General features: G+C 44.9%; 1 protein-coding gene across 15 annotated transcripts in view; it reads right to left on the minus strand.

Moving 5' to 3' along the window:
• HOMER2 (homer scaffold protein 2) overlaps positions 1 to 15,626 on the minus strand; it is a 151,497-nt gene that overhangs the window by 17,872 nt on the left and 117,999 nt on the right. For 9 of the 15 annotated variants that reach the window (XM_011522232.3, XM_047433360.1, XM_047433355.1 and 6 more), the window contains 3 exons: positions 11,635 to 11,727; positions 6,497 to 6,636; positions 2,112 to 2,268 (listed from right to left, as the gene is read on the minus strand). In XM_011522232.3, the coding sequence (XP_011520534.1) occupies positions 2,112 to 2,268; positions 6,497 to 6,636; positions 11,635 to 11,727 (390 nt within the window). The remainder of the gene's footprint in view (positions 1 to 2,111; positions 2,269 to 6,496; positions 6,637 to 11,634; positions 11,728 to 15,626) is intronic. The other 6 variants (XM_047433359.1, XM_047433356.1, XM_047433358.1 and 3 more) reach the window with 1 other exon arrangement.

Below are 15,626 nucleotides of genomic sequence, written 5' to 3' on the forward strand. Positions count from 1 at the left end.
TCTGGTTTCCTCTCATGGCCGTGAAGAAGTAGATTCAGATTTGCTTTAAGGATCCATCACAAGCAAGGGCCAAGTGTCCCCTGAATTGATCTGCTTTTCTCCAGAATGACTGTTACACCACTGTAATCACGTCCTGCATTATTCTGTTTCATCTCAAGGGTTTAAGCCAGCAGGGTAGAAAAATCAAGCAACCTCATGGTACAGTGGCTGCCGAAAAGGGAAGCAATGACATTTCGAATATTATAAATCAAGGTGACCTTCCCCTGGGAATGCACGTGGAAGGGGCCTGGCCTGTGGGCCTCTTCCCCAAGGCTGAATGGCAAATCCCTACACCGCATCTTTCCCTTTCCAAGGCTGACCCCTCAAAACAGTTACCTGTGTGGAACAGGGGTGCAAGGGCTTGGCACTCTCACACTGCCATTGAATGCTGGGGGCCAAAATGTGTGTGCAGAGTGGACAGCAGGCGTGGACCCCACATGCAACACAAAAGCACTGTAGTGAAGTCCCCCCGAACAGGCAGCAGCAGTCCTTGACATGAAGGGCACCGAGGACACTTCCCAGAGGCAGGCTGCACCAAGCCTTGGGGTCTGAACTCCCAGCCCCTGCTGCTGCTGGAAACCACACCAACTTCCGCCTCCAACCCTGGGAGGCAAGCTTGTGAGATGTCGACTCAGGGAGGTCGACACGCCTCCAAGGGAGCGAGTTGTGCGTGATGCTCTTCCTCCACTCCCCCCGCACTGCTGCTGGCTATCAGACTGAGACCAAAGTGAGAAACTCAGCTCTTTTCTTGAAAATGCAAGAAAGGGCAATCGATCCCTCTGGCAGGCAGATCTGCCAGGCCTCGGGTGGGAACGTGCAAAGTCAGCAATTGGCCTGGTGCCCAACCGTCAGCACCAAGATGAAAAAATGACACGAGACACTTTTATGTGGCATTAGCATGAAAGTAAGACAGTGTGACAGAGGGCTGGGATGCAGGGGCCCTCCAGGTCGGGCAGGGCAGGGGAGAAAAGGGGGTCAAGGGGGAGTGAACACCAATCTAAATGGGACCTGTCCCCCTAAAACCCTGCACTGACGGAGCATACTCCAAAGCCTATGTGTTTCTAGTGGGAGGATTAACCATGATCAAAACAAGGTTAGCAGAGAAACCTCAAGACCTCAATGGGGGGTCTCTGGCCACCCCAAAAGCACCTTATGAACTAGAGTGTGACTAATGACAGGGAAGGTTACAGGTGCATTTTCAAACAAATCAAAATGCCAGGATGTCAAGGTCGGAGAGTAGAGGGCGTACAACAGGTCAGCACCTGTTTACCCTCCTCACGCCTCAAGCACCATAATCCTTTTCTCAACTCCAAATTTACATGTTTAGAAACAATAATGTGAATGGAAGCAGGACTTCCAAGCAGGCGCAACTCACCATCTCCCAAGTCTGTTTCTCACCTACCCTCTGGGTCCCCTTCCTCCACGGAGGGTCACTGAACCACAGAAATGCTGAGGGAGGGCACTCTGAGAGAGACAGGGCTGACACCTCCAGTTTATCTTCTCCTCAGTAAGAGGAATTATAAAACTTGGTTCAGAAAAGGTAACGAGTCTGGCCAGGCACAGTGGTTCACGCCTGTAATCCTGGCACTTCAGGAGGCTGAGGCGGGTGTATCACCTGAGGCCAGGAGTTTGAGACCAGCCTGGCCAACTTGGTGAAACCCTGTCTCTACTAAAAATACAAAAATTAGCCAGGCATGGTGGCAGGCGCCTCTAATCCCAGCTACTTCGGAGGCTGAGGCAAGAGAATCACTTGAACCTGGGAGACAGGAGGCTGCAGTGCACTGAGATCGTGCCACTGCACTCCAGCCTGGGTGACAGAGCGAGACTCCATCTCAAAAAAAAAGAAAGAAAATAAAACCAGAAAAGGTAATGAGTCAATTATGTACGTGGTTAAATTCCTACTAAGAAAGGCAGGGAGGGGGAGGGACGTTCCCATGGGAGAGGCAGCAAGTCTTCCTCTGGCCATGGGGATAAGGGCAAAGTTGGGGAGGGAGAAAAAGGGTTGTGGGTGCCCCCATCTCCCACTGCCCACACCAGCTGGCCTCGGGGCTCACTGCATCCACCGTACCCACCTTGTTGCGGAGCCGGTCATTCTCATCACGGCAGATGGAGAACTGCCTCTTCCACTGCTCCACACTGGCTGCCGACTCCTGCAGTGCTGTGGTCAGCCGTGCATTGCTCTCCCGAAGGGTCTGCAGCTCGATCTCCCACTTCTTCACGTTGGCTGCGCTGCAGGACAGGGACGGGCGGTGACGACGGGGTGGGTGCTGTCCCGTCTGGCTCCGCCCGCGTGGGGAAGGGGACTCCGCCATCCCTCAGCACACCCCTGGGGGGCCCACGCCCTCTCCCCACAGTAAGCTGGCAGGTGGGTCTGGCTACCCTGATCCAGGGCCAGGAGGGACTGGCCCCTCTCTCTGGTGTGAACATGTCATCCTGTGGTCTATCTTCTTAAAGAATCACCTTAGAAGAGAACACAATTCTTGGGCCGGACGCAGTGGCTCATGCCTGTAATCCTAACACTTTGGGAGGCCGAGGCGGGCGGATCACTAGGTCAAGAAATCGAGACCATCCTGGCCAACATGGTGAAAACCTGTCTCTACTAAAAATACAAAAAAATGGTGGCGGGCGCCTGCAGTCTCAGCTACTCAGGAGGCTGAGGCAGAAGAATCGCTTGAACCCAGGAGGTGGAGGTTGCAGTGAGCCGAGATCACGCCACTGCACTCCGGCCTGGCGACAGAGCGAGACTCCATCTCCAAAAAAAAAAAAAAAAAAAAAAAAGAAAACACAATTCTTCACGAATGAAGAGACAAAGCTAGGCATGAGGGCTGCAGGGCGGGCAAGGCCCATCCCATCCTCCTTACTGGCCGCCCTGCTTCCTCCTGAAAGGAGTTTCATGGGTGGACCGGGTGACCTTCAAGAATCGTATGAAAGCCATGGACGGACCTCCAGGACGCTGGGTTTAAACAAGCAAGAAGCCAACAGCTTGGCTCCGGGGAATAATGGTCCCACTGTAACCTGTGCCTTCTCAGAGCCTTTGAAGGAATCCAGATCTGAGGGCCTAGGGCTTGGAGACAGGAGAGAGTGACCAGGAATCAGTGCCCTGGGGGCACAACAGGGGTCTGGAGGGAGCTCTGGCTGGCCCATATCCCCCCGGGGTGTGAGGAGACCAGGAATCTGAGGGACACCTCTGCTGTCACCACAAAGGCCTCATGTTTCATCTGATTCTACATGCTTGGTGAGGAGGACGTTTAAAACAAAACCAAACTGGAATCAGGTTCCCCTCATTGTTCTCTTCTGACCCTCCTTCAATTTCCTTGCTAGGAGCCCACACATCTGTGGCGCTGAATGTGACTGGAGGTGACAGGGCAGAGCTGCACGTGACAAGCCCATGGGGAGGTTTCCGCCTGGCTAAGTCCTCTTTCTAAAGGCTCTTCCTAATTTTTTTAAGTAAATACAATGGTGTGTCTGAATAGATCTGTGTTATCTTTTATCCCACAACCTCAAGGACCTCGAGGACTTGGAAAATATGTACTTTCACTTTCAAACACCACTGACTGAAGAAATAATAAAATGTTATTATCTGGTGAATTCTAGAGTTGATGACTGACAATTTAAGCTAATTTAGGGAAATAGCTTCCTGCCCATTCTTGTAGTACCTCACTTGCTCATTAAACTCAGATTTGAAAACATTTATTTTTAGGGGTGAAACATTTTCACCCAGGCAGCCCACTGTGACTTAAACAACCAAAAACAGCTCTCAGTTGGGTGTGGTGGCTCACACCTATAATCCCAGCACTTTGGGAGGCCAAGAAGGGAGGATAACTTGATAAGCCCAGGAGTTTGGGACCAGCCTGGGCAACATAGCAAGACCTCATCTCTACAAAAATAAAAATAAAAATCAGCCAGGTGTGGTAGCGTGCACCTGTGGTCCCAGCTACTTGGGAGGCTGAGGCGGGGGGATCAGTCGAGCCCAGGAGTTCAAGGCTGTAGTAAGCTATGATGACACCACTGCACTACAGCTGGGATCACAGAGACTCTGCCTCAAAAAACAAATAAATAAATAAATAAATAAAGCTCTCACAATTGTCTGATGAGTAAGAAAAGAGACTGGTCACAGTTCTGTCCTTTGAAGTACCTGACAAAGAGTCACAGTCCAAAGGCAGGGGGTTGGATCTAAGGGTCACATGTGCTTTCTGGAATTCCTAGGTCAGATCACAGCCGGGCCAGCTGAGTTGGAGAGCTGGGGGCCAACTCTGTGGCGGCTCTGGCTGTGGAAGGGGACAGGCTGCCTCTGGTAGGCTCCTGAAGAGACTGTGAGTGCAGCCTTGAGTGGAACACGGGCCATGTGAGGTGATGGAAGGTTTACTAGCCATGTGACCTTGGGCAAGGAGTCACTTTGTCACTTGGAATTCAGTTTCCTCATCTGTAAAATGGGGGGAAGTTCAAAATGACAGCTTCTCTTATGGACCCAATGCTTGAGACCTCCCTAAATTCATACGTTGAAACCCTACCCCTAATGTGATGGTCTTAGGAGGCGGGGGGGCGGGTGTTGAGAGGTAACTAGGATTAGGTGAGGGCGTGAGGATGAAATCTTTATGAATGGGATCCAGGTCTTTACAAGAGTCCTCAGAGAGCTCACCTCCTCTCCCCACCTGTGAAGACACAGGGAGAAGACTGTGGTCTATGAACCAGGAAGCAGGCCCTCACCAGACACCAAATCTGCCAGTGCCTTAATCTTGGACTTTCTAGCCTCCAGAACTGTGAGAAGTAAAGGTTTGTTGTTTAAGCCACCCAGTTTGTGGTATTTTGTTATAGCAGCCTGAGCTAAGACAGCTTCTAAGATGATACAGCTTTTTTTTTTTTTTTTTTTTTTTTTTGAGACAGAGTCTTGCTCTGTCGACCCGGCTGGAGTGCAGTGGCGTGATCTTGGCTCACTGCAACCTCCGCCTCCCGGGTTCAAGTAATTCTCCTGCCTCAGCCTCCTGAGTAGCTGGGATTACAGGCATGTATCACCGTGCCCGGCCAATTTTTGTATTTTTAGTAGAGATGGGGTTTCACCGTGTTGCCCAGGCTGGTCTCGAACTCCTGACCTCAAGTGATCCAGCCACCTCGGCCTCCCAAAGCATTGGGATTACAGGCATGTGCCACCACGCCCAGCCAATACAGATCTTAAATGGGCAACTCTGAGGAGGGGGGCTTCTCGGTCTGAGGGAGACTGGGGAAAGCCTGCTGAACCCCTACCCCTGGCCAGCAGAAAGCCCTGAGTGTGCTCATGGGACCGCCCTAAACCACGAAGCTCAGCCCAGCCTGTGGGGAATGCTCCACATTCTCAAGATACAAAATCATAAGCACCGCTCATGCAGTAAATTAAAATCTTACTGATATCATTATGGGGATTGTGTTACATTTATAGATCAATTTAGGAGAAACTGATACTTTTAAAATATCAAGGCTTTTTGCCACTTCCCAACAGAATGGCTATTTATTAAACAATTATTTTATAAACCTTGAAATCATTTTAAAGTTTGCTTCACATAGATCTTGTATATTTAAGTTTATTTCTATGTAGTTTATGGTTCTAGTTCATACTGTAAAGGATCTCTTCTTCAAATATATATTCCACATGACTTTTTTGTATATAGGTGACTGAGTTTTGTGTGATTTCATATTTTAATAGTTTATGTTTTCACATGCGTTTCTCAGATGTTCAAAATTCTTTTTTTTTTCTTTTTTTTGAGACAAGAGTCTCACTCTGTCATCCAAGCTGGAGTGTGGTGGTGCAATCTCAGCTCACTGCAGCCTCTGCCACCTCCCAGGCTCAAGCAATCCTCCCAACTGAGCCACCAGAGTAGCTGGGACTACAGGTAAACACCACCATAGCTGGCTAGTTTTTAAAATATTTTTTCTAGAGACAGGATTTCATCATGTTACCCAGGCTGGTCTCAAACTCCTAGGCTCAAGTGATCCGCCTGCCTTGGCCTTCCAAAATGTTGGGATTACAGGCAGGAGCCACCATGCTTGGCCAAGAGTCAATGTTATAGATAAATAAATGATAAATTTGCCTCCTCAAAAACAAAACAAAGCACAAGCACAGGGGTGCATTCACACACACACACACACCCTCTCTCCACACATGTACACTCAATCACACACACTCTGACACTACCACACTCATGCACATTTGCCCTCTCTCCACACATTTACATACTCACAATATCTCTCTCTCACACACACACACTCTCTATTTCCCACACACACACAAATGGATGCTGATGTGGTTGGCCAGAGCAGGGCCATGAAGCCAGCTGGCCTTCCTTTCACCAGGAGACAAGAGTGGATGCTCTAAGCAGGTCCCAGTTTTCTCTCCCAATTTCCTGAAACCCTGTCCAGCAAGAAAGGCTTCTAGGGAAGTGCTGAAGGTGGAGAAAATAGAATCTGGACTTTAAAACAGCCTTACCTCTGCGTCAAGGCAATCTTCAGCTTGTCATTCTCAGACTTCAGGTGTGTGTTGGCTGGACCGGCGTGAGAGGCCTTTTCATCGTCCGTCCCGTTGACACTGGATGCCTGAGTAGAAGATGGGGTTTCACGCCCAGATTCCTGGCCAAAGTGAATTATCTTCACACGTTATTGCTTGTCTGCACATCGGCAGCAAGTTAGGCATAATAAGAAACTTTACGAGTGTGGACGAACCAACTCATCCAACCAGAATGCAGCAAAGACTAACAAGTTTTTGTTTTTTTTTTAAACAAACAAACAAACAAAAAAGAAAACAAAACCTAACAAAGACTATCATGACCAAAGAAAAAGGCACTGAAGAGACCATGTGGAGTTCATAAAGTCTGTGTGCTTTACTGACAAGGGAACACCTGGGCCAGTGCTCAGAGCCTTTTTACTTACGCCTTATGGAGAAACCCACCAAACTTGGGAGACCTGGTCTCCTGAAATACCACAGGGCAGAAGCCACAAGGGAGGAGGGACTCTTAGAAACAAGGAATGAAAAAGCACATATTAGAAAAGGAGACAACTTAAATATCTTGGGGCTATGGAGAGTTAGATCAACACATTCATTAAAGAGACAAGAACCAGGTCCTGTTGTTTGCCCACTCCCTTACTACTTAGTGCTGTTATGAATATGTTCAAGTGTTTTCCGTAAGTCATACCACGTAGAGGTGAAATCTCATCTGGTGCTAGATAAGACCTTAGAAAGATCTTATTTAGCCTCAAATAAGTACATGGGCAAAGGAAGAAACTAGAAGAGAATGGTGTATAAATCCAAGTTTCAATTTCTGAATTTCAAAAAAAACACCATAAACAAAATTAAAATGAGACAAAAACCCGGGGGGTGGGGAGGGGATGGGAATATATACAGCAGTACATATGAAAAACAAAATGTCGGCCGGGCGCGGTGGCTCACACCTGTAATCCCAGCACTTTGGGAGGCTGAGGCGGGCAGATCACCTGAGGCCAGGAGTTTGACACCAGCCTGGCCAACATAGTGAAACCCTGTCTCTACTAAAAATACAAAAGTTAGTCAGGCGTGGTGGCATGCACCTGTAATCACAGCTGCTCGGGAGGCTGAGGCAGGACCCGGGAGGCGGAGGTTGCAGTGAGCTGAGATCGTGCCACTGCACTCCAGCCTGGGCAACAAGAGGGAAACTCCAACTCAAAATAAAAAAAAGGAAAAAAATATTAGTATCTTTCCTATATTGACAAGCTCTTAGAGTCCTCATCTTTTAGAGCTACATGCTGAAATATTTACGGATGAAATGAAACATCTGGCATTTGCTTTAAAATATGGTGGGGGGGAGCAAATGAGTAGGTGCACAGATTAAACAATTGGTCATAATTTCCTAACTGTTAAAGCTGACCTATGGGTACAGGAAGGTCCATTATACAATTATGCCTAGATTTGCATATGTTCACATTTTTTTGTGTTTAAAAATAAAGCTCTTGAAAATCAATACAAAAGATTAACACCTTAACTTAAAAAGGGGTAGGTAATTGATATTCACAAAAGAAGAAAAGCATACAATCGATAAACATAAAAATATTTAATCTCACTAGTAAAGAAGTACAAAATGAAGGCCAGGTGTGGTGGCTCACACCTGTAATCCCAGCACTTTGGGAGGCCAAGGTAGGCAGATCACTTGAGGTCAAGAGTTCAAGACCTGCCTGGCCAATATGGTGAAACCCTGTCTCTACTAAAATTACAAAAATTAGCCAGACATGGTGGCAGGCGCCTGTAATCCCAGCTAATGGGGAAGCTGAGGCAGGAGGATCCCTTGAACCTGGGTGGCAGAGGTTGCAGTGAGCCGAGATCACGCCACTGCACTCCAGCCTAGATGACACAGTGAGACTCTGTCTCAAAGATAGAAGATAGAAGATGAGAGAGAGAGAGAGAGAGAGAGAGAAAGCGAAAGAGAAAGGAAAGAAAGAAAAGAAAACAAAAGAAAAAAAGAGAAGAGAAAAGAAAAGAAAGACTTTTCATCTGTCAAATTAACAAAGCTTTGCTGATGAGGGTGTGGTAAGAAAAAGCCTTATTCACTGCAGGTGGGAGTTAGAATGGTGTATTTCTGCAGGCTAAGTTTGTGGTATGCATCACAAGCTTTAAGAACATCCATACCTTTAACCCAATATCTCCATTTCAAGAAGTTATGCAGAAACCACCAAATGCACAAAGACATGCAAGAACATTCATCACAGTGTTATTTATATTAGTGAAATTTTAGAAATGCAGATGTCACAAATTATAGGTTAACCAAATAAGCTGTGATACCAACACTAGAATGCTGTCCAGTCATTAAAACAGTTTTGAAAAGGAATAATCATGACATAAAGTTAAAAGGTATAATATAAAATATATCCTGGAAAAGTATGTTAGAAAGATACACACCAAAACACTAATAAAATATCTTCAAGTGGTGAGAAGGTAGATGATTTTTATTTCCTTCTTTATAGTATGGTATATTTTTCCTTTATACAATAAACATGTATTGCATTTATAGTCACAAAACAGCCCCACATTTTAAGTGTTTTTGTAATTAGGCTGCTTAAAAATCCAACTATTTTGAAAACTTAATCAAAGTGTTCATACTCTAAGAGATTCAGGAAACCAAGTAATTGTGTGATTACTAATTTTAAAAAGCATACAAGGGCCGGGTGCAGTGGCTCACACCTGTAATCCCAGCACTATGGGAGGCCGAGGCAGGCAGATCGCCTGATATCAGAAGCTTGAGATCAGCCTGAGCCAACATGGTGAAACCACATCTCTACTAAAGATACAAAAAAATTAGTCGGGTGTGGTGGCGCATGCTTGTAATCCCAGTTAGAGAGGCTGAGGCAGGAGAATCCCTTGAACTTGGGAGGCAGAGGTTGCAGTGAGCAGAGGTTGCAGTGAGCAGAGGTTGCAGCAAGCTGAGATCGCGCCACTGCACTCCAGCCTGGGCAACAGATTGAGTCTCTGTCTTAAAAACAAAAACAAAAATAGTCTTTCTCTCTCTTTTTTTTTTTTTAATAGAGATGGGGTTTCGCCATATTCCCAGGCTGGTCTCGAACTCATGAGCTCAGGTGATCCACTGGCCTCGGCTTCCCAAAGTGCTGAGATTACAGGTGTGAGCCGCTGTACCCAGCCTTAAAAAAATACATACAATAACCTCTATACCTGGGGAACTATCAGGAAGGATAAATACTGCTAAAGATTAGAAACAAAAAGTCATTCCTAAATAATACATATACGTTAAATAACATCTTATTAGGTATACATGTATTTTTAAGGTTTAAAATACTTAGCTTATGCCTGTAATCCCAGCTACCTGGGAGGCCAAGGCAGGAAGACTACTCGAGCCCAGGGGCAGCACAGCAAGACCCCGTCTCAAATAAATAAACTTTTGAGAGGGGGTAAATATTAAAACAAAATCTTATCTGGAGAAATTCAGATATTAAACTTAAATATATCACTGTACTATGCGGTATTCTGAAAAAGATAGTATATTAGAAACTTTCTAGACCATGGACAATTTCAGATGCTGAATTTCATAGGTCCTCAGAGATTAATCAAGTAATTAGCATACAAAATTAATGGTATCACTGAATCATATTAAAGATTATTTAGAAAGATTCAGGAAAGTTCCTGTCTACCTGAAATCGAATTCACATGCATTTCCATAGGTCCATGTGGGCATATTTTATATGATGAGGCCAGAACAAGGTATTGGAAAGACAACTCAAGGCAGACATAGGTTCTGCCTTTGTGAAACATCCTGAGCCACACCAAATCTCCTGTCCCAAGGGTCGGCCACAGCACTGACAAACCCAGGGTCCCTGTCAGCATTCTCTCCCCTCCTCTCTGAGCACCGACATATTGGGCATACTCCCTCCTGGGGCTCAGCGATGCTGGAATTTCTCCCTCCCTGTCATCTTTGCTGGCTCCCATTTCATAACTGGGCCTATTTCCTAGGGCTCCAGCATCTGCCCTCCTCTCTCCACTGCTTCTTTGTGCACCCGAGACTGCAGCTACTGCCCCTGTGAGGCTGATGGTCAAGTCTAGAGCATCGATCTTGACTGCTCAAGATGCCCAGGCCTCCTGGTTCTCTTCCTGCAACCTGTCCTCATTTGCAACCCCCTCCCCGGGCTTCCCTGGCCCAGCTATTCTCTCCTTCACAGCCCCCTCGACAATCTTTCTGCTCTCAGTCCCTCCCTGCCTGCCTTACCATCTGCAAGCAAGCCAACCCTCTCAGGTGAAATCCAAATCAACAGTCACAACACACTTCCAACGTCCACCAACTACTCAAGAATAATTAAACAAGTAGCTAATAAATAAAAAATTACCCAGTAATGAAGAATTCTAGGTCTTCACAGTATCTCCAAGCACATCTCAACGCCTCCGACAGCACACCTCAGCTGCCAGCAGGCAGACTCCTGGCTATCTTGCTAGTATATCACACTTACTCCTGCCCCTAAGTATTCTCTCCTGAAGTCTCCCTTTCCCTGGCTTTCTACATATAACCCTGTCACTAGGTCGACTTCCCCCACCACCACATATACTAATCTAGACATCAGGAAAGTGGGTGTGTTGATTTCAGATTAAAATAGGTCCTTTTCAGTCAATCTTCACACTTTAGACAGACTACTGAATTCCTGGCCAAGCCGGATCTCCTCTGTTAAGACAGAGCTGTTGGAATAACCACTTCCACCTGACCTCTGTTAAAACCGGAGATGAACACAAGGGCTGTCTGACATCAAGTCTCTCTCTTGTGGGCACAAGGTACCCTACACAGAAACTCACCTCCCAGCACAGCCAGGAGACATGCTGCCTCGCCTCTGGCATTTAAACACAGTGACCACAGAATGTCTCTCCTGGGCCAGGATGTGTATTAACTCAAATCACATCAACCATTTTCTGTCAGAAATACAGTACCACATCCTAAAAAATTCAAGAGTCTCATAAAAACATGTCACTGTGATCAGGCTAATAGTTGAAAAAGCCTTCAAAATGACCTATTGTCAAAATTCCCTATTTCTGGCCAGAAGTGACAAGGAACAAAGAGTCCCTATCACCAACCCCACTGGGATTTACTTCATAGACTAATGTCTTACTTGGGAATGATTACTTGAGGTCTCGATTTTCTCCTGCGTCTTGTCTTTGGCTATCTTGGCAGCTTCTTTCACCTCCTGGAATTTCTCTGCAAACTGAACATGAAGAATAGTTATTAAGGCTTTTATTAACCTCACTCATGGCTGGTATTCAGAACCCACCTTTATTTATTTTGCATCCATTTTAGGCCCATACATTCTGTATAAATCCAGAAGAATTTTATTTGCTATTAAATGAATATAAGGATGTATATTCCAGTAAACAGCACTGGGCAAGGTCAGTTCTGAACCCATATCTAAGCTACTGAAGCTAGTTTGATGATGATGTATTAAAAACAAACTAATACAAAAATGGCAAATGAAATTTGGCTATACCACAAAAGAAATCCACGGAAAACTTCATAATCCATACCGAAAAGATCCAAAACCTCTTAGTGTCATTTTTTTCTAGATGAATACTAAGTATTTAGGAGTGAAATGTCTTGATGCTTATAGTTTAAAGTACTTCAAAAACAATAAAAGAGATGAAGAAATGTGGTAAAATGTTAACAACTGTTAAATCTAGGTAATGTGTATATGGGTGTTCATTATACTATGCCCTCCACTTTTTATTAATATCTTAATAGTTCCATAATAAAACAGTTCTTCAAGTCCTGGGACAATCATATCACCCATTAGCTTATTGCCACTAACAAGGTGGCCAATTTTAATTAGCAAATTCATTGTTTGAACAGAGAATAGCCTGTGATAATGGTGGTATTACAAAGTAAGAGCTAAATATGGTTGCAGACAAAACAAAAACTAGCAAGTTGCAAGGCTATCACCAATTCTGCAGGTTTTATTGAGAACTCATTTATTTCTGAGCACAGGCTATCCTCTGAGTATCTTCACAATGCCGACAACAGTGGTCTACTTTAGGAAACCTTGCCAGATAACAGATGTAGGTGAACCCAGCACCCTAGGGTAAGCAGTAAAGGTCAGTCTTTCTGTTCTGGCCTGTGTTGCAGGCCCTGTGAGTAAAGCCACAGCTGGGGAGGCTTCATATTTAACTATTGCAATGCTGGCAGAGGAAAATCACATTACCTGTTGCTTAAAACACGAGGTCCAGCAGGGATGCACAAAGCCTCCCTCACCTTTTCTTTTTGGGGACCTCTTAAGGAAAAACATCATTATCATGAACTCCTTTGTGGCAGGGTCCACATCTTTCCTCTCTGCACCCTCCTCCCACACCTGGCAGAAAGCAGGGACAGTACAAATAAGTTTGTTCAGTGAATGAACGAGTTTTAGGCTTGCACAGCCCTGTCCACTTTAGGAAAAAAAAATCATGTAAAAGACTTGGTTCTGGTCTTCAAAGGAGCTCCAAGTGTATCTAAGAAAAAGATTTTGTTTACATTCAAACATGTGAGAATCAAAAAGAAAATTTCAGACAGTAAGCTTAAAATATAATGAGATAGGATAAGCCCTATGATATGGTTTGGCTGTGTCCCCGAGCTTTGGCAGGATCCCCATGCTGTGTGCAGTCTACAGACTTGGTGACCTGCATCCCAGCAGCTCCAGCTGTGACTAGGAGGGGCCAAGGGACAGCTCGGGCCATGGCTTCAAAGGGTGCAAGCCCAAAGCCTTGGCAGCTTCCACATGGCGTTGGGCCTGCAGGTACACAGAAGTCAAGAATTGAGGTTTGGGAACCTCTGCCTAGATTTCAGAGGATGTATGGAAACGTCTGTATGTCCAGGCAGAAGTTTGCTGCAGGGGTGGGGCTCTCATGGAGAACTCTGCTAGGGCAGTGCAGAAGGGAAATGTGGGGTCAAAGTCCCCCACAGAGTCCCTACTGGGGCACTGTCTAGTGGAGCTGTGAGAAGAGGGCCACCATCCTCCAGACCCCAGAATAGTAGATCAACTGACAGTTTGCACCGTGTGCCTGGGTAAAGCCACAGACATTCAATGCCGGCCCGTGAAAGCAGCCAGGAGGGAGCCTGTACCCTGCAAAGCCACAGGAGCAGAGCTGCCCAAGACCATGGGAGCCCACCTCTTGCATCAGTGTGACCTGGATGTGAGACATGGATTAAAAGGAGATCATTTTGCAACTTTAAGATTTGACTGCCCTGCTGGATTTTGGACTTGCATGGGGCCTGTAGCCCCTTTGTTTTGGTCAATTTCTCCCATTTGGAATAGGTGTATTTACCCAATGCCTCTACCCCCATTGTACCTAGGAAGTAACTTGTTTTTTATTTTACTGGCTCATAGGCAGAAGGGACTTGCCTTGTCTCAGATGAGACCGGACTGTGGACTTTTGAGTTAATGCTGAAATGAGTTAAGACCTTGGGAGACTGTTGGGAAGGCATGACTGGTTTTGAAATGTGATGACATGAGATTTGGGAGGGGATGGAAAGATATGGTTTGACTCTGTGTCCCCAACCAAATCTCATCTTGAATTGTAACTCCCACAATTCCCACATGTCATGGGAAGAACCTGGTGGGAGTAACTGAATCATCGGGGCGGGTCTCTCCTGTGCTGTTCTTATGATAGTGAATAAGTCTCAGGAGATCTGATGGTTTTAAAAATGAGAGTTTCCTCCCATAAGCTCTTTTCTCTCATCTCCTGCCATGTGAGACATGCTCTCCACCTTCCGCCATGATTGTGAGGCCTTCCCAGCCACGTGGAACTGTAAGTCCAATAAGCCTGTTTCTTTTGTAAATTGCCCAGTCTTGAGTATATCTTTATCAGCAGCGTGAAAATGGACTAATATACCCTATCAGATACATTTTAAATAAATAATCATTTTTAAAGGTGTGGTATTAGTAGATGCATGATGGAACAGAACAAACAGGTGAGAAATGGGCCTCAACTTTTATATAAAAAATTAGCTTATGACTAAGGGGGAAACAGAAATTAATGAGGAAGATTATTCAACATATAATTGAGATAACTTTAGTAAATTGAGAGAAATGAATTTAAATCCCACAAACCTGTAGCATGATAAATTATTGATGAGTTAAAGGGGCAAGAAAAAGAAAATCAAACTTTAAAAAATCAGGATGCTTCTGAAGAAAAAAAAATTCTGGATGCAAACAGAACTGAGCATGTATCAAGCTTCTGCTTGAGAGGTGGGTGGATAATTTTCTAAACTTGGAAGAAATTTCTTAAAACCCACAAAAGTGACAGACTTCACTACATAATAATTTAAAGCTTTTGAATATAAAAGGAAAAAAAAAAAAAACTAAACCAGAAGGGAAACAACAGCCTTGGGAAAATATCTATAGCTAAGCTAGTACAACAGAAAAAGGGCTATTTTCTTTAGTATGGCAAGAGTTTGTACAAACTGAAAAGTATGACAAGCCCAGTAAATAAATGGCAAAATTCAGGAATAAAAAATGCAGTAACAGCTTATAGAAAACACCATTCAGCCTTGTTGGAAATGTAAATCAAAATAACGAGGTACCATTGTTTGCCTGTGAAATGAGCAAACACTAAAGACAATTAGATTCCCTGTGCTGGCAAGATATTTCTGGTAGTGTTGTGTATTGGTGCAGCCCCACTGAGAAACTATTTGGAAATATGTCTTGTTAGTGAAAAAAACATTCATACCTACTGACCCAGTGATACTGCTTCTGGGAAACCATTCTGCCAAAATAATTGAGAATATGGGGGGAAAAAAGGCCCTCAATACCAAGATGTTAATTCCAGCATTGTCTACAAATATGGAACACTGGAAACAACCCAGTGGGCCCTAGGAGAATGATAGAGAGAAACTTCCTCTCAAAGCCTCCAACTAGCAGAAGAAAACTGCCAGTCATGAGAGCCGCCTAGTAATTGTCCTTTGGTGAAAAATCGCCTCCCTCCAAGTCTTGCATTTTCTAATATTTCCCCCTTATTCTTAAAAAAATATATATATATGCTTGTAAATTTGGAAAATACAATTTAGAAAAAAATATTTTTTTCATATGATTGTTGGCTGCATGTATGTCTTCTTTTGAAAAGTGTCTGTTCATGTCCT

The sequence above is a fragment of the Homo sapiens genome, chromosome 15 (assembly GCF_000001405.40).
Source record: "Homo sapiens chromosome 15, GRCh38.p14 Primary Assembly".
NCBI lineage: Eukaryota > Metazoa > Chordata > Mammalia > Primates > Hominidae > Homo > Homo sapiens.